This window comes from Homo sapiens, chromosome 4 (genome assembly GCF_000001405.40).
Source record: "Homo sapiens chromosome 4, GRCh38.p14 Primary Assembly".
NCBI classification, from domain to species: Eukaryota; Metazoa; Chordata; class Mammalia; order Primates; family Hominidae; genus Homo; species Homo sapiens.
The window spans coordinates 109,254,409-109,282,016 of record NC_000004.12 but is presented as its reverse complement, the minus strand read 5'-3'; the positions used below and the strand labels follow the sequence as shown (position 1 = coordinate 109,282,016).

At 36.7% G+C, this 27,608-nt stretch overlaps 1 protein-coding gene across 7 annotated transcripts in view, besides 1 other annotated feature; it reads left to right on the top strand.

Moving 5' to 3' along the window:
* COL25A1 (collagen type XXV alpha 1 chain) overlaps nt 1-27,608 on the top strand; it is a 493,934-nt gene that overhangs the window by 20,642 nt on the left and 445,684 nt on the right. The window lies entirely within an intron of this gene.
* Nucleotides 5,275-5,324: a silencer, noted in NCBI's record as "silent region_15620". NCBI's record gives its function as "represses an Ori minimal core promoter by ATAC-STARR-seq in GM12878 lymphoblastoid cells {active_cell/tissue: GM12878}" and the evidence as "EXISTENCE:reporter gene assay evidence [ECO:0000049][PMID:35858748]".

Below are 27,608 nucleotides of genomic sequence, written 5' to 3'. Positions count from 1 at the left end.
AGCTAGGAGAATTTATGATTATATTAACAATAGCACATTCGACTGTGACTTAGAAAGAGCACTCACTGTTCTTGGGGGAAAGTGATTTTAAGGAAGTAAGTTTAGTAGTATAACAAACAAAAGTGCTTATGTTGCTCTAAAATAAAGGTATAGTTTTAAAAGAAAACACCCTCTTATAGTTATCTTTGCTTTAGCATTACTCCTTATTAACTAGATGGGTATAATCTTTTAGACCAGTTTTCTTCAAAATGATTAGATTAATAACCATGGAATAAACATTTAACAACTTGGAAGTGGCTTTTTCTGTTATTGAATGCTATTGAGCTTTGTGCATATAAAATATGGTTTTGAGTAGATTATTAGTAGTTAACAACCACTGTTATCCCTTTAGTCACAACCAGCTCATATCCAGGTGCCTTCTAGAAGGGACTGTCTGATCACCTAAACATTCCTAAGGTGGTTTGACTGGTGGAGTGCTAGTAGAAGTTAAAATTTCTACTGTTTGATTAAAAAGGAGCCTAAAATGTCAAAATAACTGTTCTTTCCATCCCTCCCACTCAAAAAAAATCTTGTTTATTTGGAATTTAGATTTTTTTTTTTTTTTTTTGCCATTTTAAGGAAAATAACGGAATTGTAAAAATATAGGAGCTGATGTGGAAGTATGTTCAAGAAAACAGTTTTTGGAGAATGACTTTAAGTCAATTTATAACAACCTTTGTACTGTATGGTTACTTGATGGCATTCTGGCTAATCAAGAAAAGTTAAGCAATTCCCTGATCAGCTTTAGTTTAATTGTAATTTTATTCTTTGAAAACTATTGAATGGTAACTAATATATATATTGCTTGTAGTTAACTACACTTATTTAGAAGAGTCCTTTGCATACTGTTTTGTAAAGTGTATTCTTGTACTCTCCCAATTAATTAATTAACTTCTTTTCCTATTTAATATTAAAGTCTAACATTTTAAGATGTGCTTCCTTTGTCTATCTACATATTTATATCTGTTATATCTATAGCTACATGTGTATGTAAACACATACATTTTGTTGAACCATTCAAATGTAAGTTGTAGATATTATGACACTTTACCATTAAGTATTTCAGCCACTTTGGGAGGTCGAGGTGGGCGGATCACAAGGTCAGGAGTTCGAGACCAGCCTGGCCAACATGGTGAAACTACATCTTTACTAAAAATACAAAAAATTAGTCGGGTGTGGTGGTGCTTGCCTGTAGTACTTGGGAGGCTGAGGCAGGAGAATCACTTGAACTCAGGAGACTGAGGTTGCAGTGAGCGGAGATCTTGCCATTGCGCTCCAGCCTGGGCGACAGAGCAAGACTCTGTCTCAAAAAAAAAACAAAACAAAACAAGTATTTCAGCATGAATTATCTAAAGATATAACCACAATACTATAATCATACCTAAGAAAATAATTTCCTAATGTCATCTAATATTCAGTGTATATTCAGGTTTCCACCATGGTCTCATGAATGTCTTCATAGCTAACTTTTCTCCCCCAGACCAAGATCTATTCAAAGTTTGTGCATTGTATTTGTTAGAACGTTCTATGTTCTCAATTTATTTGTTTATGCATGGTGTTATTTCACTTGTCTGCTATTCCTTATGTTTCCCGTAAAGTTGGTAAGATTCAGGTTAAACATTTTTGGCAAGAATGTTTTATAGATGACGCTGTCTCATCTTTTGCTGCTTTAATATCTGAATAGAATTCCATTGAATGGATGTGTAATTTTTAAAATAGTCTGAGTTGATGGGTATTTGAGGTGTTTTTTGTCTCTAAACTTCTTCTGAACATATAGTAATGCACACTGGTGATCAGGAGAAAGGAAGCCTCAACATTTAATCATGTTGTCATTTTCATTGTTCAGTCCTGCGAAGTGTTTAACATTTTTAATTTTTATCTTTGTTTCTATAGCAGACCCAGATAGACCAGTCCAGGTAGTGCAGGCCAAACCTGTGGGAAAGCTCCAGGAACTCTAGTTTCCTCATAAGACAAAGTAAACCCTTTGCTAGATCTTAGACCCTGCCTCATCTTTCAGTATCCTAAGGATCATCAGATTGAGAATTCTTTATTAGAGCAGACTGTTCATGTTGCTACCCCAAATGTAGAATTTTCAGAACTGATTTGGTCTACAGAAAACAAATGTAAGATAGGAAAGTAAAGCTCCAGGATGCTGGAGAAAAAGGAAATGTAGATACATAGTAGAATAAAGGGCAAATGTTCACACGGTTGTTGTGGATATGGCTCATTAACAAAAAATAATTAATACAATTGATAAAAGCTTTTCAACACGTGTATGTGCCTATGTACACATTTATCATTTATATTAGTTTATTTAACTTTTATAAACATTTTACTTTTCAAAACTCACAGTTTATTTCTAATTATGAGGGAGGTATATTTTTTGTTTTAATTGATTGATTGAGACAGGGTCTTGCTGTGTCGCCCAAGCTGGAGTGCATTGGCACAATCAGGGCTCACTATTGCTTCAAAATCCTGGACCCAAGCGATTCTCAGCTCAGCCTCTTGAGCAGCTGGGACTGAGGTGTGCAGATTAGCCAGACCTGGCTAATCTTCTAATTTTTTGAAGAGATGGAGTCTTTATTTTGCCCAGGATGGTCTCAACCTCCCAAAGCACTGGGATTACTGGCATGAGTCACTGCACCCAGCCGGAGAGGTATATTTTTTAAAAATCCTAAAATTCCGTTCTTTCTGGCCAAACACAAAATCTGTTGCATTCCTGGGTCCTTGACTATGAAAATCTTACAGTAAGCCATATAATTAATGCAGAAATTAAAATAGAATTGTGAACCAGTTACAACAAATTGGAGGATAAACTGATTTTTTGATGTGGTTTGGGTGTCTGTGTCTTCCCCCATCCCCCCGCCCAAAACTCATATGTTAAAAATGAATCTCCAGTGTGATAGAATTAAGAGGTAGGTCTTTTGAGAGGTGACTAGTTCATGAGGACAGAGGCCAGATAAATTGGATTAGTGCCCATATAAAAAGGTCCCTAGGGAGTTGACGTGCCCCTTCCACCATGTGTGAACACAGCTACAAGGTGCCATTCAAGAGGAAGCAGGCCCTCACCAGACACTGAATCTGCTGCCACCTTGATTTTCAACTTCCCAGCCTCCAGAACTGTGAGAAATAAAAGTTAATTTTATAAGCTACCTAGTTTTTGATATTTTTGTTAGAACAGCCTAAAGGACTAAGAAGCTTTTCTTAAAAATGAATCATTTGTGAAGAGAGAGTCCTTTAAGGGAAGTGAACATTATGCCGAGTCACCAAATTCTTTATAAACAGAATTGAAACTAGAAGGTGTTACATGGGGACAATATTCTTGTTTTAACTACGTCATTAACAGGAGGCAATTTCCTGCAATTAGCCAGGCCTAAGTACTCAGTGTATTGTATTGTAAATTTTCATAAGAATACATTTCATATATATTTGATAGTATATTTAGTTTTTCAGAATACTCAAGGAGCTGGCCAACGGACCTTCAGCTCTACAAATGTAACTTTCTTAGGAAAAACATATAAAACATTTTCCAAAAAATTATAGGACTAAATTCAATACAAATTAATAATTTAAGGCATCCAGGCTTTTTCTTTGATGAAACTGCCAAATATTTCTTTTTGTAAGATACCATTTCAACATATAAGAAATATGAATGCCAGACAAAGGATATAATCACTGAACATTTATAAAGCTACATAGCTGCGTGTTCTCTGACAAGTAGATTATGTTGGATTTGAAATTATATAGATCAAATTCTATTTCTGTGCTGTAGAGAGGTGACCTGAATAGATATGCTGATTCAGCTCAAGCTCATTAAAGTAATAGCACTTCTTTTTTTTTTTTGAGATGGAGTCTCGCTCTGTTGCCCAGGCTGGAGTGCAGTGGTGTGATCTCGGCTCGCTGCAACCTCCGCCTCCTGGGTTCAAGCGATTCTTCTGCCTCAGCCTCCTGAGTAACTGGGACTACAGGTATGTGCCACCATGCCTGGCTAATTTTTTGAATTTTTAGTAGAGATGGGGTTTCACCATGTTAGCCAGGATGGTCTTGATCTCCTGACCTGGTGATCCACCTGCCTCGGCCTCCCAAAGTGCTGGGATTAGAGGCTTGAGCCACCATGTCCGGCCAATAATAGCACATTTTGTTTGCAGTTCTAGAAATGGGAAATTATATTTACATGCAAGTCATGGTGTAACATAATAATAAAATGTATTAATTGGGCCAGAAAACTCAAATATTGGACTGTAGAATCAGAAATGGATACATAGAAATCCTATATAATCTAAGTTCTCTGGAAGATTCCCAGGGTATTTACTATTAAGTGAAATTTTTCTGTGATTTATGTGTTGGTATTTTCAACAAAGACTCTTATTTGTTGTTTGAAGTGTATGAAAATACAGGTTGTCTGGGGACGTTGTTCTGATATTTTCATATAGGACAAATCTAATTTAGTTGCTAGATACTTTCAGAAGAGAAAATTTTTAAAAAATCTGTTTCAAAACTGAAGAATTCAGTTAAGATTTTTCCTCCCCCACTCTCCAGCTCCCACCCTAGCCCCACTCTTGCTTTCTGTCTTTCAACCAGGCTAATTACTTGAAGCAACTGCTTGTAATCTGTGACTTTTAACAAAAGCTCTAAATTAGTATGAATATATGGATAATAATGGACTTTATACACAAGTTTCTCTCTGTTTGGTTAAATACCTGGTCATTGAGGAAACAGAGTTCCTAAATTCTATTGAAGTTTTTAATCATCCCTTTTAGAAGCATGGAGAGAGGGATACAAGGAGAAGGCTAAGGGGGAATAATTAATGCAATATTAATAACAATATTGTTCCTGGAGCAAAGTAAATAGTAGTTCTATTACATGATGCACAATTTGAATCATGCATGCAGTATTTTGTTTTGTTTAGAAAGAAGTGGTTACAAACTAGAGCAGTTCCAGGCGGGAGCAATGAATATGAAAGCATCTAAAATTTATCTTGTAGGAATAACAGCAGAAGAGAATGGAAACATTTAGCTTGCAAAGGACAAGAGCTAGAAGTGGTTGGTGGTAGTGATGTTAAGGAAAGCGTGGTGGTTGTCTTCCAGTGTGTGGTGGGCTATTTCTACTACAGGGCAGAACTTGGGTCCCGGAGTGGAAATGAACAGGGAGCACATTTCTGTTGAAAATAAGAGAATTTTTTCCCATCTAACAAGGTTGTTTAAAAATGGCTTTCTTTTCATGTGGTGGGCTCGCCATCATTGAGAGAATTCAAGAATTGCAGTACAGAGCAATTCCTGCCTAGACCACACTGACTAACTGAAACTGATTACCCTGAAACTACTCTATGACTGACACCAGCCGCTAAAACCCTGAATGTTTCCTTCCCTAACCTCTTCTACCCTGTTGGAGATCCTGCTAAGGCTTCTTCAAGGTGGTGCTCTCTTCTGCTCAGTAAGTTGAATAAAACCCAGTTTTGTAAGATTTCCCCCCAAAGAATTATACTATAAATAGTTATTAAGCACCTACTATGGCAAGTACTGTGTTAGATGTGTAAAAAATAAGACAATTTTTTTTTTTTTTTTTTGAGACAGAGTCTTGCTCTGTCTCCCAGGCTGGAGTGCAGTGGCGCGATCTCGGCTCACTGCAACCTCCGCCTCCTGGGTTCAAGTGATTCTCCTGCCTCAGCCTCCTGAGTAGCTGGGATTACAGGCACCCATCACCATGCCCGGCTAATTTTTTGTAGTTTTAGTAGAGATGAGGTTTCACCATGTTAGCCAGGATGGTCTTGATCTCCTGACCTCAGGTGATCCACCCGCCTCAGCCTCCCAAAGTGCTGGGATTATAGGCATAAGCCACTGCGCCTGGCCAAGAAATAAGACAATCTTTATCCTTGAGGGTTTATCATCCAGTAAGAACATGTAATGATAATTAAATGTTATCAGTTCTATGACAGCAGTATATATGGAGGAGAAGAGTGAGCAGGGAAGTCTACAGAAAAGGTTGTCTTTGAGTTCAACACTGAATAATGGGTAGGTGTTTGCCCAGTGGATTGAGAAGCAAGGGTGGTGGAGGGAGGTTGTGAGGAAGGAAAATGCTCACATGACTTTCTCTGAAAATGCTGTAGAAGGCCTCTTGCCATTTTGGCATCAGGGTGGTAGCTAGACAAACCCTAGGGACTGTGACAATTCAACAACCTTACCAAGTGATTGCCTTCTAAAAAAAACTTTACAGAGAGAAGCCTAATGTTGCACTCCAGTTTTAAGTTTGCCTGGGGTCAAATAGGAATAGTCGTTTCTATGAATATTTCTTGGAGAAAGAGTGAAGGAGACAGGATCATTACAACTCTTTGAGAGAATGCTTGTTGGCATTAAAGAGCACTTGTTTCCAAGTGAAGACAGAAGCCCTCAGCCATCCTCATTTCTTTTCCCTCAGGCGCCTTTGCATATTCTGTAGTTGACTACATTCACTGTTCTCTATTCTGTATGGCAAGTGGGTCACACATCTCTGTGTCACTTTATGCTGGGACACACTAATCTTTTTGTTAGGACATGATTGGGCACCTTAGCCTAAACCCTATGAAACCTCTGGGGAAAAATAGCTAGAGATGAACTTTTTATGTCACATAGCCGTCAGTTCAAAGCCTGTTTAGTGTCAGGGTTGAAGGAAACTATAATGGCTCGTGAGAAGAGGCTCACAGGGGGTCCTTTTTCAGGGCAAAAGGACAGATGGTTTTCTCTACTTGAGATCATACACAATACACAATAGACCCAGCACTTGCTTCCCAGCCATGCTACATGCACGCCTTCTTCATGAGGGGAACATACAATTTTGTAGACCCAGCGGGGGGACATTTACTCATTGCTGCTGTTCTTTTCAGCTGTTTTGTTGGTAGGCTTAGAGTGCCCTTTTGTAGAGTGACAAAAAGGGGTTTTAATAAAACATTGGCTTCACAAAGAGGGCCATTGTGTATACATGTACCTTCTGTGTAAAAACTAATTTTGTATTTTAAATACAATGAAAGGGAAGTTCAATAACCAAAAACTCTGGGTCTCAATTATTTGCAGTAATATATGATCAATGGTTTTACTGTGCCGACACACACTGAAAATTTTCATAGAGAGAGTTAATTATTCGTGTGTTATATAAGAAGATTCACAGTGTAATATTCCTAGACAATTTGTATTATAGACATATGTTTCGTACCAGGCTATTAAATATCCATTGTGCCAGTTTAACTTGCTGAATTTTGTAATTTTTTAGTTATATATAAAATGTCATTTTCCAATTAATATTTTCAGGGGTCTTAAGTACTTAGTTTAATTTTAAAAAGAAAAAGATAGCTGTGCATATTTCTATGAATTCTTAAATTATTTGTTTTAACAAAAAGTAATTGGCAAGATAATTTTTAGCATTTTAAAGTGTTTATCTCTTTTCTTTGGGATATTTTGGCATATGTTCCAGATATTCAACAATGTTAATATAAAATATTAGATGGAAGACTCTTTATTAGCTATTCATTATATGGAAATAAATAATCTTTCCATAGTTGTTAACTAATCTGAGGAAATCATTTCTCTTTCTGTAAACCAGTCTAAAGCTAAAAAGAATAGCTGCTGATTTATTAGAATCTTATAAAATGATATGTTTTTCTTTTCATCTGTTTTTGTTATGTCCATCCTTATGGCTTAGAAATTTGTGATGAAAGTAATTTGTACACAGAAAATTAGGGTATGTTTAATTAGAGAATTGGAAGAATAGACTTTGAACTTTTGATTATCATTTTTTTAATTGAAAATGTAAATAGAACATTTGATTGAAAGGAAAATAAAAGATACTTTGAAAAATTCAAAATGATGCAATGTATATACAAAGGAATATGACACCATCCAAGATTGATTTTCAAGTGAGTGATACCAACAGTGTGTGCTCTGAATTCTGAGGAAAGAGGATTAATAGTTCCGTTTTTTGCCACCTATACCCATTACATGAGGGAATTGGATTAAATGATTTCCAACAAGTATTCCTGCTTTAAAATTTGGCTATGAAAGGGCAGTAACAACTTGGTGTATTTAAAAGATTCCTTAATTTGTTTTCATTTTTTTTACAGTTTATAATTGATCTCATATTAATTGTCTTATTTAATTCCAAGCAATAACTTGGACAGTAGGTCTGACAGGCATTACTATCGCAATTTGCATATAAGAAAACTGAGGCTCAGGGGTAAGGCTCTTTGCCCAAGGTGGAGGTGTTAGTGTCTTATTTTTCTAATTATAAGGATGGTTTTTCTGCTGATGCACAGAGTGATTATTAGCCTTAAAATAGGATTGCTGTTGAACTGAGAAAGGTGGTCTTTAGTACTTTTGATAATATTGGAAACCACTGGGTCAAATATAATTGCTTTCAACCAACTAATTATATCTATTCAGAAGTAATAATCATATGAGAACATATTGTTTTGACAAGTTGGCATTTTATCGTTTTCTAATAAACAAGAAATATAAAGGTTATATTACTTTTCTGTGTATTAACGATTATTGAACAACCTAATTTACTGATGTAGTTCAGTGCCAGTTTGCTCCTTCTATAGGACTGTATAAGACTCTGCATGGCACTTAGCAATTTCAGGTACATTAAAATGTTCAATTATTAGCATCTAGTTTAATAAACAATTGGGGATATATTTTTTACACGATTAATTTTAAATAAAAAATCTCATTACTTTTTATTGGAAGATTTCTACTTAGTAATGAGGACAATTACTATAATCTTTGCTTTTTTAATCAATTGAGAATCTGGTAAGAATGAAGTATCTTAGTGAGCCTATGGCTATAGTGGATTACAAAGAAAGTAACACTATTTGTGGCATCGGACCTCTTTTCATCCCTTTTGTCTTTAGTTCATATACCCTCCTTCCCCTTTCCCATCCTCCCTTCCCCAGTTGATTTTTCATGGGGCATATATTGGGGTATTTCTAAAATGCAAATGTTATATAATGCTTAAATACCTCCATTCCTTCACCATTGCTTTTTGGATGAAGCCAAATTGACCCTAACTTTCCTTTTCTGTCTCACTTGACACCGTACTTAATACCCAGCCATGGAGGCCTTCACTCCCTCAGACCTGCTGTATTCCTGTTGTGTGACTTTGTCTCCCCTGCCTGGAATGTTCAGCACTCTCATTCTCTGCCTGGTAAATGCCTACCCATACTTCATGACATGCTCAAATGTCAGTTCAGATGATAACGCTCCCTGCAAATCTTCCAAGCATGGTTGGAAGCTCTATTAGGCCTTGATCCATTGCTCTTTATAGTAATACCACTTTGCATCTCAATTATTTAATTTCTGGGCCTCTCTAACTCCCACAGTGCCTTGTCCATAGTACATACTTAACTTCCATTTGATGGAAAAACTCTGCTTTCAAAGAACTTTATGAACAGTTGGGAAATGAATACAAACACCAGTGAACACATATTACAAAGGAGATTATTTGGCTAATCTTAGCTAATACTCTCATAATTCCCTCTGTTCTATACCCATTACATGAGGGAATTGGATTAAATGATTTCCAGCATGTATTCCTGCTTTAAAATTTGGCTCTGAAAGGGCAGTAACAAGTTGGTATATTTAGATAATGGCATGTAGCAAGTGGCAGTTCATTTACACAGTGTGGCACACATCAATGAACAATTTCATTCTCCTCTATGATTTTGTTGTAATATAACTGAAAAGAGATATAACTTTGATTTTTATTTTATTTATTTTTGAGACAGGGTCTCACTGTGTTGCCCAGGCTAGAGTGCTGTGGTGATCATGGCTCATCGCAGCCTTGACCTCTCGGGCTCAGGTGACTCTTCCACCTCAGCCTCCTGAGTAGCAGGAACTACAGGTACACACCACCATGACTGGTTAATTTTTGTATTTTTTGTAGAGATGGGGTTTCATGTTGCCCAGGCTGGTCTCGAACTCCTAGGCTCAAGTGATCCACCTGCCTCAGCCTCCCAAAGTGCTAGGATTACAGGCATGAGCCACCATGCCCACCCTTGATTTTTAACTTTAAAAAAATTTACAAAAATGCACTTTATAACAAGTTGAATGAGAATTTACTGAAAATACCACTTACAATAAAAACATTGTTAGAATTCTGAGAGGAATTTTTTCCTGCAAATTCTTTGAAAAAGTTTAGTGTGATACTATAAAATTATACACTTTTTTCCTCAGGTTCTTAACCCCCATCTTAAAATTTGAAGTAAGAAGGAAATCATTGGTATGAAAAATCACTGTGGTGTTCAGGGTTGAAGTTTTTGATGTAAAGAACTCCCTGGAAAGATGCTGGGCAAATTTCTCTTCTGCATAGTTCATAGCAGGTGACTGACACTCAATAACATTTAATATAATGAATTACAGAGGCTTTGAAAATTTAGGCCTCCAAAGAGCAAATCCAAGATGGTAGATAGGATTTTCACATTACTGTGAAGACAGGGTGGATGTTGACATAGTTGGTCTTCTGGGAGTGCTTCATCACCTAAGTGAAAGAACCATATTCACCTAATTTATTTTACCAAGGGAAAGACTATTTATTCTCTTTATTAGCTGCTTATTTAAGGTCAAAGAGAAAAGAAGGCCAAAGGAAATATGTAATATAGTTTTCAGCTAGGTGAAGTAGAATTTAGTACACTATAAAATTGGGCATTTTCTCTTCCAGCTTCCTTTAACCAAGAACCTTATTTTATTGACCTTCATTAAATTTACATTTTAGTTTTGCTTTTCTACATTACTAGGAAATTTGCAGCTAAGTATTTTTGTGTAACAATAATAATAAAAAAGAAAAATAGCATTATATTCAAAACTGATGCAAAAAGAATCTTGATTATTTTCCATTGAGGCAGCAGTGGTGTAGCCAGTGGAAGGGGCTCAGGCTTTGGAACCAGACAGACCTGGCCCTAATTCTGGCTCAGCTATTTACCCACTCTCTGGGCTTGGCAAATTACTAAAATCCTTCCAGTCTCAGTTTCCTGATCCATAAAACTGAAAGGCTAATATCTGTTAAGAATTAGAAATAATGCATAGTAGGCATTCTAGCACAATGCTGGCCCATAGGAGGGGATTCAATAAGTGAGTTATAGTAATTATGCTGGCAAGATATTAGATAATTATGATCTTTAGATTCTAATTTTTATTGAAGTAATTATATGCCATAGGTTTTCCAGGTGCCTAACACAGGACCTGACACATAGTATAGTCTCAAAAAATATTTACTGAGTAAATAAATGGGTTTAGTTCTGTGCAAAAGGGGCTTGGTTCCATATACTGTTAGTGTCACGTGGTAAAATATGAGATCAGAGTAACTGAGGAACTCAAGAGTGGAGAAGTAACCAAGTGTGCCAAAATCCTTGAGATGTCGTGAAGCAGTGCTAGACTGTATTCTCCAGGAGCAGGCTCTAGGAGAAGGACCTGCCCTTTAAGAATTTGCATCTTTCACATCCCTTGTAAGTTGGATTCCTAGGTATTTTATTCTCTTTGAAGCAGTTGTGAATGGGAGTTCACTCATGATTTGGCTCTCTGTTTGTCTGCTGTTGGTGTATAGGAATGCTTGTGATTTTTGCACATTGATTTTGTATCCTGAGATTTTGCTGAAGTTGCTTATCAGCTTAAGGAGATTTTGGGCTGAGACAATGGGTTTTTCTAGATATACAGTCATGTCATCTGCAAACAGGGACAATTTGACTTCCTCTTTTCCTAATTGAATACCCTTTATTTCCTTCTCCTGCCTAATTGCCCTGGCCAGAACTTCCAACACTATGTTGAATAGGAGTGGTGAGAGAGGGCATCCCTGTCTTGTGCCAGTTTTTAAAGGGAATGCTTCCAGTTTTTGCCCATTCAGTATGATATTGGCTGTGGGTTTGTCATAGATAGCTCTTATTATTTTGAAATATGTCCCATCAATACCTAATTTATTGAGAGTTTTTAGCATGAAAGGTTGTTGAATTTTGTCAAAGGCCTTTTCTGCATCTATTGAGATAATCATGTGGTTTTTGTCTTTGGCTCTGTTTATATGCTGGATTACATTTATTGATTTGTGTGTATTGAACCAGCCTTGCATCCCAGGGATGAAGCCCACTTGATCATGGTGGATAAGCTTTTTGACGTGCTGCTGGATTCGGTTTGCCAGTATTTTATTGAGGAATTTTGCATCAATGTTCATCAAGGATATTGGTCTAAAATTCTCTTTTTTGGTTGTGTCTCTGCCCGGCTTTGGTATCAGAAAGAAGACATTTATGCAGCCAAAAAACACATGAAAAAATGTTCACCGTCACTGGCCATCAGAGAAATGCAAATCAAAACCACAATGAGATACCATCTCACACCAGTTAGAATGGCAATCATTAAAAAGTCAGGAAACAACAGGTGCTGGAGAGGATGTGGAGAAATAGGAACACTTTTACACTGTTGGTAGGACTGTAAACTAGTTCAACCATTGTGGAAGTCAGTGTGGCGATTCCTCAGGGATCTAGAACTAGAAATACCATTTGACCCAGCCATCCCATTACTGGGTATATACCCAAAGGACTATAAATCATGCTGCTATAAAGACACATGCACACGTATGTTTATTGCGGCATTATTCACAATAGCAAAGACTTGGAACCAACCCAAATGTCCAACAATGATAGACTGGATTAAGAAAATGTGGCATATATACACCATGGAATACTATGCAGCCATAAAAAATAATGCGTTCATGTCCTTTGTAGGGACATGGATGAAATTGGAAACCATCATTCTCAGTGAACTATCGCAAGAACAAAAAACCAAACACCGCATATTCTCACTCATAGGTGGGAATTGAACAATGAGATCACATAGACACAGGAAGGGGAACATCACACTCTGGGGACTGTTGTGGGGTGGGGGGAGGGGGGAGGGATAGCATTGGGAGATATACCTAATGCTAGATGACGAGTTAGTGGGTGCAGCACACCAGCATGGCACATGCATACGTATGTAACTAACCTGCACAATGTGCACATGTACCCTAAAACTTAAAGTATAAAAAAAAAAAGAAAAAGAATTTGCATCTTTATAGGGATGGGTGGAAGGATGGTAACAGTGAGGTAACCATGACGGAGGGAGCTACCGGAAGCCTCCTGGTTGAGAAAGTGATCTCCTTAGAATGAGGGAGCCTTTGGTCTCACTAGCTAGGCAGCTTGTTCTTCTGTTGAGCCAGCTCACACCGTTGGGGCTAGCTTTGCTGTGCCTCAAGGCATCTCGATTTGTTTCCTTTGAGCAGTGGAAGAAATCTTCTTTAGAAATTACTTCTGGTTTATACATATTAGGTTATCGTGATTGACATGTAATCTTTTTCATAAATGATAGTTTTAAATTTGCACGTGTCTTTGGCTCTATATATTTAATTTTAGAATATTTTGTTGTTTTTAAAAGGTTTACACAGGTTCATTGTACAGGAACAGAAAGGTAAAAGAGGTCCTACCCACCCCTAAGCCAAACTGCTCATCTACCCAGAAGAAATCACAGTAACTGATAACTTGTGTGTTTCTCTAGAGGTTGTCCTATGCATGCAAGTAGCTGTGTTCCATATCCTTTATAAACTTGGGCAGTGGTCGTCATTTTCTCACCTCACAACAACAGGAATTTACAGCATCAAATGGATACAAGAATCATGAAAAAATAGACATAAATGCTTATCTAATTTTAATAGTCTCCTGAAAAGAAAGCAAAACAAAGAAAAAGGAAAATGTTCAGATTATTGCAGACATTCTTCAGTCGCCCAAATTTCTTAATGCCTATGCTATTACCTGTGACAAAAGTAATTGTGCTTTGATAAAACAATGTGCTCTTTATAATATATTGCAGATATTCACACCTCATTTTAACATGTTCAAATGTGAGTTTTCAATCAGTAAAATGACTTACTTGCAGTGCAGATTTTATGGTTAATTTAGCTTGACATTTTAAAGTTTTAGATTTCTCTCCAAATTATTTCTCCTACAATGCAAATTTTTTTTTGTAATAATGAAGCGATCTTGACTGATGTATGTCATGACTAAGGAAAGACAATATAGACTAGATCCAAACGTCAGATGAAGTCAGATTTGATTAAAGCTCTTTTAGACTGTTTTATGTAGGTCAAGTATCTCTTATCTGAGATGCTTGGGACCTGAAGTATTTCAGATTTTAGATTTTTTTTTAAGTTAGAAATATTTGCATTATATACTTACAGTTGAGATTCCCTAATCTGGAAAATCCAAAATCTGAAATGCTCCAGAGTGTTTCTTTTGGACATCATGTTGGTACTCAAAAAGTTGTGGATTTTGGAGCTCTTCAGATTTCAGATTTTTGGATTAGGGATGATTCAACATGTACGATGTTATCCATAAAGGAGATATACTATACTAACTAAAGAAGAAACTGAAGAGTTAAAGTATATTATTTGATTATAACACTAAAAACTTACAATGGAAATGCATTTAGTTTGATGGGAGACATTGAAGATTTTCTTTTAATTGGGTTATTTTCTAGTTTCTTTGGTTTGTTTTTCTTTTTTAGATTTCTGGATCTTTAGAAATACAATTGAATAGGAGAGAACATTTAATGTTTTGGATTGAAAATGTTTTTTGTGTACCATGACTTTAGAAAGCTTTTATTCAAATAACAGGTAAATACAGGATTTAACCTGATTTATTGGGCTTTCTAAATTTTGCCAGTTATGGGAATGAGAATTTGCAGTATTATTTGTCACTAGTGCTCAATGAATGAGAGTTTCTGATACCATATTTATATCATTTTTCATAAACCCACAGAAAACTCAGTGGACTTTTCCTATCTGGTTTTAAGAGAGCTATAGGTTAGCATTTGGGTTCATTAGCCTCTCTACCAGAGAAAGGGCTGCATGCTGACATGACTTGGTTGCAGTTTCTATTGCTTAAAAAAATGCACACCAGTAAAATTTGTTACATTCTTTCTGTTTTCTTTGGTTGATTTTCTGAGTGCTTATTCTCTTAATGTTGCCTGTTTTAAATTGCCATTTAGCAGGCAGATTTAGGATGATCTCAGATTCAAGTGATGCAGTTTAATCTGATTAAGACATAAAGCAGAATAACTTGGAGTGCAATAGCAAAGGCTCCCAGAGGAGTCCCAAAAAAGCTAACAGCACAAAAGTCATGGGTTCAGTTTATAACTATAATTGCTACTTGGTTTTTGCTTGAAGAAAATATGTAATTCAAATGTACAGAAAAAAGATTTGTATCCACGTTTTCATGTCACTTTCTATGGTTGAGAGTAATCTTTATCTTCTCTTCCTACAATGAATACTTTTTTTTTTTTTGGTCGTAGTAATGGATGTAAACATTACAAACTGAGGTCATGCCGACTGGTCAGGAGGCAACCATTTATTTATGAAAGCCTGTCCTAGATTATTAGTACATCCTCCCCAGCCCCCCATATCTTTATAGGTTTAGTGCCAACAACATAAACAATCCACAAAGTATATTTTAGGGTCAATGGAGCCTTTAGAACATTCTGTTACACTGCTTAAGGCATGAGATTGATATTGGCATTCCTTCTTCAAATCGCTCCATTGTCATGTGAAGATTTCTGAAGGTCATTCATCTTCACCTCATCGTTTCCAGAGAATAATTGTAGCTTGTCCACTTCCTCAGCTGTTCATCCATAGCCTGCCAAGCAAATTATAAAAATAATAGCTGACATTCATTATTCTGACTACCAAGCACTGTTTTAACATCTTTTTCATGTATTATCTTAGTTAATTTTTACAACAACCTGTTATCCCGATTTAATAGACAGGATAAATGAGCCCTAAAGAAGTTAAAAAACTTTTCATGTGTCATGTAACTTTTAAGTAGCAGAAGTTAGCTATGTCTTATTCAAGTTCAAGCTTTTAACTCTTTAACGGTTACACCTGTTAGTCCTCAAGAGTCGACCTGTTTTAAAAAAAACTTTAACACAGGAAATGTTTGGAGGTAGTATTGGTAGCAGGAAGAAAAGTACCTGAGAAAAGAGAAGGGCTATGGAAAAGCTCTAGGTTAATCTGAGAGGAATCCAAAGAAAGGGCTGCATGCTGTCATGACTTGGTAGTAGTTTCTACTGCTTAAAAAATGTACACCAGTAAAATTTGTTACATTCTTTCCATTTTGTTAGGTTGCTTTTCTGAGTGCTTATCCTCTTAATGTTGCCTGTTTTAAATTACCATTTAGCAGGCAGATAATGAGAGAAAGCAGATTAACGATTTGAAAGTAACATTTAGGAAGGTCTGGTGGTGTGCAGCACAGGACCGCAACAATGGCTGTTCAGGAGAGTCCTGACATCACTGGGATTCTCAAGTTATGGTATCTTGAATTCTTTATATAGTTCAAATGACATAGAAACACAAACACTTCCTGCTCCTGTTTAACACACACACACACACACACACACACACACACACACACACACACACACACGTACTGTTATTACTGTAAGAAAACACATGCAAGAATAGATATTTATTGCCTCAATTATAACTTTAGTTTAATGGAAAAAGTATAAGGAAAATGTTACTGTTAATTGAAAAGAGATACTAAAGAGAAAGCATAGTTGATTTGTTTGGAGGAAGTAATGCTGTTTAAATTGTCCTTTGGCCTTCAGTGTGGAGTATTTGTTGACTATGTGATCATTAATTCAAAGCTGTAGCTCATGCTGAATACTGTGCAGTGTTTCAGCTCCCGAATGTTAACAGATAGGTTAATAGAATAGGAGAGTTAAAACAGATATAGCTCACGGTTTGCCCTGAAAACTTGAGGATTTTCTAATTAAATACTGGATGATCAGTGAACTTTGCTCAGCTTACTAAATCATGAATTTTTCCATCTTAGTGACATGGCTAAAATTGGAAATGTCAAATATGTCTGAACAAGATCATGATTCATGAACTTGGACCTGAACTTACTTTCCATTTTCTTTATACAAAAAAAGGCATTATAAATAGATTAACTAGAAATTATGCTAAAAGAAATTAACCTTTCTTTTAGCAAGGCTGTGTTTCTAAGTTGGAAAACATTTCCTTCCTTCAAGAAAGGTGATGTTGATCTTTATAAAATATAATGAAAGTAATTAATTATTTAACATTAGAGTCAAAACCACATGGTCCTTATTGGTGGGAATGAGTGGGATTGCTGAAGATACTTGTAAACCAGGGAGTGCCAATGATATCACATGTTGCTGGATTTCCTTTTAAATTACCTTGGGGGAATTTGATCAGTGGGCCTGATCTGTAGTTGGGCATCTCCAATTAAAAATGGCTCAGACTGAATCTATCATTCCCCATTCCCCACTGAATCTGCTCTTCGCCCAGGCTTTTCTCAGTGAATGATGCTCATCGTTCACACCAGACACTTGAGAACTATTCTTGACTTCCCTGGCACCACCCATAATTTTTCATTCACCATGTCCTGTCTGTTTTCCTCCCGATTTTCTCAAGTTTGTCCATTTTGCTCTGTTCCTTCTGTGACTCCTTTAGTTCTGCCAACCAGTATTGTTCCTTGCCTGATGGTAACAGCTACCAATGAGTTTCCCCCACTCCATTATTGCTCTTCTCCAGTATGTTCTCCACGCCATACCCAGAGTGTTCTTTCTAAAGTGAAATCCGTGCAATCCCTGATAAAACCCAACCATGCCAGCATGGCTAACAGGCTGAGGTTTTCATTATCGTGCTTAGCTGAGTCTCTCACCCTTCCCTCTCCTGGTCGCACTATTTTCTGTTGTTTTCTTTTTTCAACTTTTTGGCCTTCACCCAAGATGTTATTGGAGAGCCTTCACCCTCTTCAGCCTTTAATTCTAAGCTTAAGCTTCTCTTCTTTTTTGAAGCTTAAGTTCTCTTGCTTATATGCTTTCACAGAAATCCGAATTTCATAGAATTTTGTTTGTTTTTAAAAATAATTTGTACTTAAAATCCTTTTTTGTTACTTCTTGTTATACAGTTTGTCTGTTCCATTAGGCTCTAAGTGACATGAATGAAGCGACTGTCTTGCTCACCATCGTATGCCAAGAGCTTCTCATGGTTTCTCATGTGCCTGGTCTATAGAGGACATTTAGCAAGTGTTAATGAATGAATGTTGAGGAGGTGTGCCGTTTTGTTTTTCCTTCTTGGTTGAGCACAGTATCTTTTATGTCATTTTGCTGAATGCCTTCTCAAGGCAGTAGGAGAGAAGAGTATTTAGTAAAAGTAAGTAGTAGAGAGCAGAGGGCCCAGTGCTCAGTGACAGAAAGCAAGGCAGCAATACGGTATGAAATTCCCGAGGCAGAGAGGGCTTTGTTTTAAACAACGTTCAGTTTATTGTTCTGTCCTTCAATTTCCTAGCAATTTCCAAGCGAACAGAGCTATAGTTTTCCACGGCAATTGATTGTAGAAACCAATAAACTTTAGGGAATTCTTTCTAATATTTAACTTACATTTCTCTGCTTTAATATAAACTCATTTCTGATTTTTCCTTGGTGAAATCAAGAGCTCATTACACTTATATCATTACCAAGTTTTCCTTGTTTCCCTCCACTATCCAATTTCTCCCCTTTCATATAACTCTTATTTTCTAATATTTTAATTATTTTTCTTACTAGTATTTGAAGCTTTTTGAGTATGCCACCCTTTGTCATTAACTGGGATAATAAAAATCAGTTTAGTACTGAATTCAGTGAAAGGACTACTGCTCTGTAAAGGCTCACTATTGTGTTCTTTTAAAATATATCTCTAGCAACTCCCCAACATGATATATTGTAAAAGACTTCGTAATTTACAATTTTAAAATATTGCTCTTATTTTGAAAGGTTTTGTTGTTGTTGTTGTTGTTGTTGTTTTGAGACAGAGTCTTGCTCTGTCGCCCAGGCTGGAATGCAATGGTGTGATCTTGGCTCACTGCAACCTCAGTTTCCCAGGTTCAAGTGATTCTGCTGCCTCAGCCTCCTGAGTAGTTGGAATTACAGGTGCCCACCACCATGTCCAGCTAATTTTTGTATTTTAGTAAAGATGGGGTTTCACCATGTTGGTCAGGCTGCTCTCGAGCTCCTGACCTTAGGTGATCCACCCACCTCGGCCTCCCAAAGTGCTGGGATTACAGGCATGACTCACTGCACTCGGCCTGAAAGGTTTTGATAGACAAATTGCCAGAAACTTATTTTCTCTAATAAAATACTATTGTGCTTAACTTAAAACCACTTTGTATGATTTTTGGGGATATTAATGTGTGTAACTATTTCAGTGTTTTGTCTATATTGTGACTTTTATTAAAGAAACTCTAAAGAAATAAGTATGCATTTTGCAAAGTGGATGAAATTTTGCTTCTGAAATTAATAACTTTTACCGATGAACTGAAAGGAATGGTTCTTAACATATAGTATAATGCTTACCCTAAACGTTTTTGTTAATAGGTAAACTTGGTTGTGACTAATGTAGGAAGCTTTTTTTTTGTTTTTTGAGAGACAGTCTAACTCTGTCGCCCAGGCTGGAGTGCAGTGGTGTGATCTCTGCTCACTGTAACCTCCGCCTCCCAGGTTCAAGTGATTCTCCTGCCTCAGCCTCCCGAGTAGCTGGGACTACAGGTGCATGCCACCATGCCCAGCTAATTTTTGTATTTTTAGTAGAGACGGGGTTTTGCCATGTTGGCCAGGCTGGTCTCGAACTCCTGACCCCAGATGATCCACCCGCCTCGGCCTCCCAAAGTGCTGGGATTACAGGTGTGAGCCACTGCGCCTGGCCTGTAGAAGGCTTTTAGAGCTTGCATTATTTCATGCATTTAAACATATAGTAGGTAAATAAATGTGTGGGAGGATGCAGAAATGCTCTCAAATGAACAGGTTAGAAATCAAGGTGATGCTGGCCCATGAAGGCATGTTCTCTAACCACTTATTCTTGCATTGATGAAAAGTGCCCTACTTTAGGGGAATGAAACGGAAACAACGTGGGACAAGGATGATTGAAATTATTGTATATCAGCCGGGCGCGGTGGCTCATGCCTGTAATCCCAGCACTTTGGGAGGCCGAGAAAGGCAGATCACGAGGTCAGGAGATCGAGACCATCCTGGCTAACACAGTGAAACCCCGTCTCTACTAAAAATACAAAAAAATAGCCAGGCATGGTGGCAGGCGCCTGTAGTCCCAGCTACTCGGGTGGCTGAGGCAGGAGAATGGCGTGAACCTGGGAGGTGGAGCTCGCAGTGAGCCGAGATCATGCCACTGCACTCCAGCCTGGGTGACAGAGCGAGACTCTGTCTCAAAAAAAAAAAAGAAAAAAGAAATTATTGTATATCAAAATATTACTTGCCTATACTATTATTACCCGTGTAAGTCAATAATAATCTGCTATGGGAGCACCATAACAGATACTTTCAGAGATGCTCAAGGGAACAAACTTTGCCTACTAACGGGAAACAAAATGAATTTCTTTGCATTTATTTATTTTAGAGACAGAATCTTACTTTGTTGCCTATGCTGGAGGGCCATGGCACGATCTTGGCTCATTGCAACCTCCGCTCCCTGACACTCACCCAGGTTCAAGCGATTCTTGTGTCTCAGCCTCCCAAGTAGCAGGGTCTACAGGAGTGCTCTACCATACCTGGCTAATTTTTGTATTTTTAGTAGAGATGAGGTTTCGTGATGTTGACCAGGCTGGTTTTGAATTCCTGACCTCAAGTGACCCGCTTGCCTGCCAAAGTGCTGGGATTACAGGCATGGGCTACTGTGCCTGGCCTAATTTCTTTATATTTAAAAGCTGATTTCAATTAAGTACATAATTATCACTTATAATGTCTAGAGTTAAACTGTGTAATGTAAGGAATGCTATTTTTGATTTTAAGACTAAAGATAATAAAACCTCAAGGAAATATATTTTGAAATACAATAATTTGAAGTAAGGCTGCTTAAGCACTTCTATGGTTTTTACCTCCTAGTTTTTATCAGAAATATCCCTTGTTGCTTTATTCTGAAAAATGGTAATAACAATAGCAATAATTTATATCATTCTTGTAATCTATAGATTACTTTTACATACAGAAATAAATTGGGCTAGTCCTTTCATCTTGATATTTCTTCTGAAACTAAATTTTGAAAATCTTTTTTCTTTTATAATATTGTTTTTTTTCCTCCTGATTGTGAAATTAATATAAAACTTTTATTATATACAAAAACCAGTATATGGCCAGGTGTGGTGGCTCACGCCTGTAATCCCAGCACTTTAGGAGGCCGAGGCATGCGGATTTCTTGAGGTCAGGAATTCGAGACCAGCCTGGCCAACATGGTGAAACCCCGTCTCTACTAAAAATACAAAAATTAGCTGGGCATGGTGGTATGCACCTGTAGTCCCAGCTACGCAGGAGACTGAGACAGGAGAATGGCTTGAACCTGGGAGGCGGAGCTTGCAGTGAGCCAAGATCGTGCCACTGCACTCCAGCCTGGGTGACACAGAGAGACTCCGCCTCAAAAAAAAACAAACAAAAAACCAACCAACCAAACAAATCCCAAACAAACAGTATACTTTCAAGACAAGACTTTGGGAGGGGGGCTAAGGTATAGTAAAACAATAATAGTTATTTGTATGAGTAGAGATGTTTATTTCCTGTTTAAGTTCCAAAATCGTTACTCCTTCCCCATTGTACCCAATTTTTAAAAAAAATTTGACCCAGTGTTTTCCCTGTTACTTTTCTATGTAGCTCTCTCCAAATTAAGGACTCAGCTTATTATGAGAATACTTCTTCTCTTGCTTGCTGTTGACCAATACCTATTGAGTAAAAAGATACTTCAAAGAACTTACAATATGATATCTGGCAAAGAAAACATCGTCAAAATATTGATGTAGAAAATGGAGGCAGCTTTGTATAAGGAACTGGGTTAAACTAAGGACAGTTTTTTCACCTGTTCTACTTTATACCTGGTACAGCTGCACCTTGACTCATAAATGGGAATTCTAGCTCTCCAGTAAAAATTTGAGAAAGAGTTTGCATCGCCTGCATCGCCTGTTTGTCGTAAACTAAATCACCATTTTCAAGACTCTTCCAGCAAAGCATGCAATGCATGGATGATAGGGCAACCTCTGGCTACGTTGCTTATGTCTTTTCCTTTCTGTTTTTCTGTTGTTTTGAAACTGGTGTTGCTTTAATGGGATGCCGGAGGAAGGTATAGATGCCAGAGATAGGTATAAAAAATGGAAATAGTAGCTATCTGCCTGCACACACATCAAAGGTTGTTTATGTGAATGTAAATACTTAGAAATATAAACATGAATATATATTACATGTTTAAATTGATGCTTTTGGTAATTCTAATTATAATCTTTGGAGGTAGCCACAAGTCTTGGTAAGACTGTGCTGTTGAAGTGTAATGTGGCATTTCTACTGCAGCAAAACTAGGGTAATGCCTTGTGTAATTGCAATTAATCAACCTTGCCTTTGGGCTTTATATATCAAATCAAAATAAAGATGTAGGAAAGGAAAATGCCATTAGTCACAGTGACAGAATTGTAGTTCCTGTCTACAGACTTATTCTTCCAGTCACCATGGCAATGAAATCCCATTTTTCTAGTGATTAAGAAGTACCAACAATATATTTGGAAAAAACAGGTGACAGTTTGCAGCAACAGACATTTTAAATGAAAATTGATTCTTTTAAAGTTGAAAAGCCATTTCTTAAGTAAAAATGGGATTTAGTATCTAAAAACCTTCATTGATTTTTTTTCTCATTGTGAAAAGTAGTTTGGTTACTTTTTTCAACCGCTCTATTGAAACTACTTGCATGTGAGGGATCAATAATCTCCGCACAGAAATCTTTATAGGCCTCCTTTATGTAAGGTGCAGTACTAAGGGAGAGTGACATTGCATAGAGGTGTAATTCACAGTCCCTGCCCTGAGGAGCTTTACACAGAGAAATAAAACATAAGGAGTGATATATTTAAAAGTGATTTGTAAACTTTGACATAATATGAAAATATAGTGGGTTAAAATTTACTAACAATAAATTAATAAGTGCCACATAAAATGAAAGTGTAAGTGGAATTCAAAACTGTTAGACCATGACTTTTAGCTGGAAGAAAGATGTCTTAAAAGGGGTAGTAATTGGGCTGGAATTTTAATGATTATATTTAAGAATTTGATAATTTGAGAATGAGAGGATCCTTTAGATATAGAAAATAGCAAGAACAAATGCTTGGAGTTATATTTTAATGACATTAATCAGATAATTTTTAATGGGATTATAGCATAGTGGTTAAAAGCATAACTTTAAAGACATATTACTTGTGTTTAAATCTTGGTGCCAACACTGCTATCATTATTATTGTTAGTAACATTTATGTTGAGGTGTTATACAGTATTTGGCCAAAAAGGCAATAGCAATTATGATTGCATTATTTTATTATAAACTTAATAATGTAACAATGATAGTGATTACTGATATTTTTAAAGAACTTATTGAACAGTGCAGGCACTGTTCCAAGTGTTTTACGTATTTTAGTCTCAAAATAATTATATGAAGTACATACTGTTATTTATTCCCATTTTACAGATGATATACTGAGGTACAGATAGAATAATTAACTTACAGAAGGTCAAACAGCTAGTAAAATGGTCATAGAGCCCACAGGTTGACTAGGGCAATATTGGGATTCAGTTTTAATATAAAAATGCATATAGGCAGTGAAAAAGACTGTATGGATGAATACTGTATGGTTAGTGAAAAACCATTTTGATTTCTGCACAGAAGTGTAATATGGTCAAAACAGTGTTTTAGGAATATTAAGCTGGAAAATATGAAGTGTAGATGGACCAGGGCACAAACTGGAGACCAAGCCAGTACATTTGTTCAGCTGTGAAATGATGAGTCTGAGATTGGGTGGGAGCAGGAAGGATGGAAAGGCAGGGCTGGAACTCAACTGGGCTCTGTTAATTGGTAAGGGAGAAGAAGGCATCAATGATGATTTATAGATGTCTCCTTAGGTTAATGGGGATATCACTAACAGGTGGTCAGTGTGTTCTCATATTTTACCAACTTCCTAATGCTTAACATTTCTCACCATCCTTCCTTTGAAATTCTCTTTCCTTCTCCATGTTGGTGACCATTGTTAAATTTTGGTTCTCCTCTTAATTCCTCCTTCACAGTTCTTTTCTGGAGTGTGCAGTCTTTGAAGTCTCAATCTGGGACTAATTTCTCTTTCCTTTACATGCCCACTTCATCATAAACTGCATATGCTGTCCCATTACCTTTAATCTGGAGACAGCATAACCTCATTGAGGGAGACCACACTGGGCCCGAATTCCAACTACAGCATGCTTACTTGTGGAATAACAATGTCTTTGATATTGGTTTACTCGTTTATAAATGGAAGCAGCCTAACTAATAGAGTTGCTATGAGCACTAAAAGTCTATGGAAAGATAGAACACCGTAGTCCCCTGACAAGTTTCATTTGCTCCTTTTGTTCCTTTTCTTCCTATCCAAGTATTTCTTTTTAGTTCAAGTTGCTTTCCTGATGGGAACTCTGCCTACCTTAAGAGAAGTAGTCATGATTTTCTTTTGCTTACCAGATGTTAAACTGTACATGATCATCTTTCATAGATGAATAGCACAGTAATTATCTTTCTGTTTTAAGCATGGAATGAGTTAATACTCTAAAAATATAAGATAAGAACTACAAAGAGATGTAATAATAAACTGGTTTTATGTGAAATTACATTTCAGATTGAGGGTGAAAATTTATCTTCACATTGGATTCTTAAGTGCAGCATGAAGACAAGTTGTGGGAACATGATATATGAAATATAAAATCTTCCAAACCCCTTACATATCTAGAAATTTTATTTGTACAGATGTTATGAATGATATAATGATCTTTTATGTAGCAATTAGGCTAGGAATTTCATTTGATTGAACAGATACTATTGTGAAAAGTACTTATCTCAGCAAAATACTGACTCATATGGAATGACACAAACCACCTTTTTCTGTAGATAGATGAGCCTAGATAAAATTGTTAAGGGGAACTTGTCAGTGTGGTCAAATTAGTTAAGTTCTTGTTAGGGGATTAGAAGTGACCCAGAGAAGACTTTTCCCTGATTCAGTTAACCTTCTTAGATTCCAGTTACCTCAAAGATAAAATATTAAAAATAATCACAGAATATAGACTAGAAGGAGGTTTAGGTATGATCTAGAACAACCACCTTGTTTTACAGAGGAAGAAACTCAGACCTAAAGATTTAAAAGAAGTTACCAAGACGCCTATAATGACAGTGGCAAGTCAGAGGTCAACTTAGGTCTTTTTAATACCCGGTATTTTCACTGTTTTGCCACAAAAGCTCCATGAGTGTTAACATTATGTCAACCAAACACTGGTCTGGAAATGAGGCTTCTGTGAAATTGGAAAAATGTAAGTAATAAGACATGGAACTAAAACTTGTTTAATCATTATCCCTGATTGCTTTTTCTACTCTTATTTTTTAAAAAATAAATTAAAAAACCCTTTGAGATCACAAAAATTCAGTTACCCCTCAGATATTCATGTGAAATGGCTGCGTTAGGAGCCTGTACCATGTTGGTACCCTGTGCACTTTCATTCTGCTGAAGGACATGTACCTGGTTTGAGAAGATGCCTTAAAGGTCGCTTATGGCTAGGCTATTTGCAACTGTACGTGTTCACCCAAGGTGAATTTGATCTGAAGAAAATTTACTTAACTGTCCATACATTTTCTGAATGAAAAAAATCTTACCATTTAACTATTGATCAAGTTTAATTTTTCAAAGTATCAGACACACAGCACCAGAAGTCTACTTTAAAACAATATGGTAAACTCTTTTGCTCTTCTCTCTAGGTTAAATTTGTACTCAAACACACACACACACACACACACACACACACACACACCAATGCTTAAAATGTTAATATCCACATGTAGTTTCTCCATGTGGCTACTTTAGGAAAGGTTTCAGGTACATGTGGAGGAGGTGAGATTAGCATTGATGAGCAGATGATGTGGGAGCTAGGTATGCTCTGTTCTAAATGCCATTTGTGACTTCTGGACTGCCACTTGAAATCTTCTGTAAAATACTCATTTTACTTAACTTACTAAGGGTGCAAGAGCAGAATGGAATTGAAACATTCTAAACTCAAAGCAAGTTTTGTTGGAGTATATAACAGATGTAGTATTCATTGTGAGGTAAATATAGATGAGATTGTCAGAAAGCATCAATATTATGAAATTACTAAGCGTTTTAATGAGAGGAATTTATTTGTTGTTGCTATTTTCATTTTTCTGTCAGCTTCTCACTTTTCTTCTGGCTTAGGGGAAAACTAGAAAAGGGAAAGAGGTTTTTAAAAAGAGTCTAGTGCATAATAATGATTGTTAGAATGAATGAATGAGCAGTTTCTCATTTGGGAGATGGTGTAGTTGCGAGGAGGGAAGGGGTTTCCATAAGGATTCTCTAGGTAGTCTGTCCAACTGCAGATATTCACCCTCTTTCCCATTCAGAGACACTCCACATAGGGGAGACCCATGGCTTTAGAGCAGCAGGTGAAATAAATTTGGATAACACCCAAACCACAAGGCCTGTGAGCTTTGCACCAAATTTTCAACTTCAGTGGGGTCTGGGTTTGTTTTAGCAATGTGGTATTTTTTTGGGTTTTGTGACTTAAGTTTTATTTTTAAATTAATTTGGAATATAAGATGAAGTTACCCTTGAAATAGATTAGTTTAAAATTACAAGGGTACTATTTTATGGGCAAAATAATTTTTCATTATTGCTAAGTTCAGAATTTTTGATAAATTACAAATTCATATTCATATTGTCCCCAGTGGCAGAGATCTCCCATCAAGTAAACTTTCATTGAGAAAAGACATTTTCCCACCCAAACGGAATACTTATTTTTAAAAATAGTTCAACTGCCAGCTTTCACTTCATAGAAGACAGCATTTTCCTTGCCCAGTGACTCCAATTCATCCCTGACAGGTGAGATTTCGTTAGCCTTGTATTTGCATTAGTGCAATTCTGCGAAAGCACTTAGCTCAGTGCCTGGTGCATGGTAGAAGCTCGATAAATGCTTATTTTCTCTTTTTCCTTTTTTGTTCTTTTGGAGAGATATCTAGAGACATACAGAAGTCTTTTAAAAGAATTAATATATTTATTGGTTTGAAAACCCTGTCAAAAATGTAGCAGAATCTCTTTGCTGGGCAGTGTGTCTTATTTTTAAGCATATTGATCAAAACACAGTAATAGTTAAGCTTATTAAAGGAATTTCTTTAAATTCAGCTCAATTTAACCAAAATTTACTTACTATCTACTATATGCAAGGCACTTGTGTAAACATTGTTGGAGACAGAAAGATGAGTACATCATCATTCCTGTGTTTAAGGAGTTGATAATCCAGGGTTGGTGAAGATGAGGGGGCATGTATTAAATATATTACACATGAACAGATATATATGTATATGTATATACACACATACATATATATATATATATATATATATATATATATATATAAACATATGCCTACATGTACATAGCACCCTGTTGTTGCTGTTATGTGAACGCAGGCCACAGG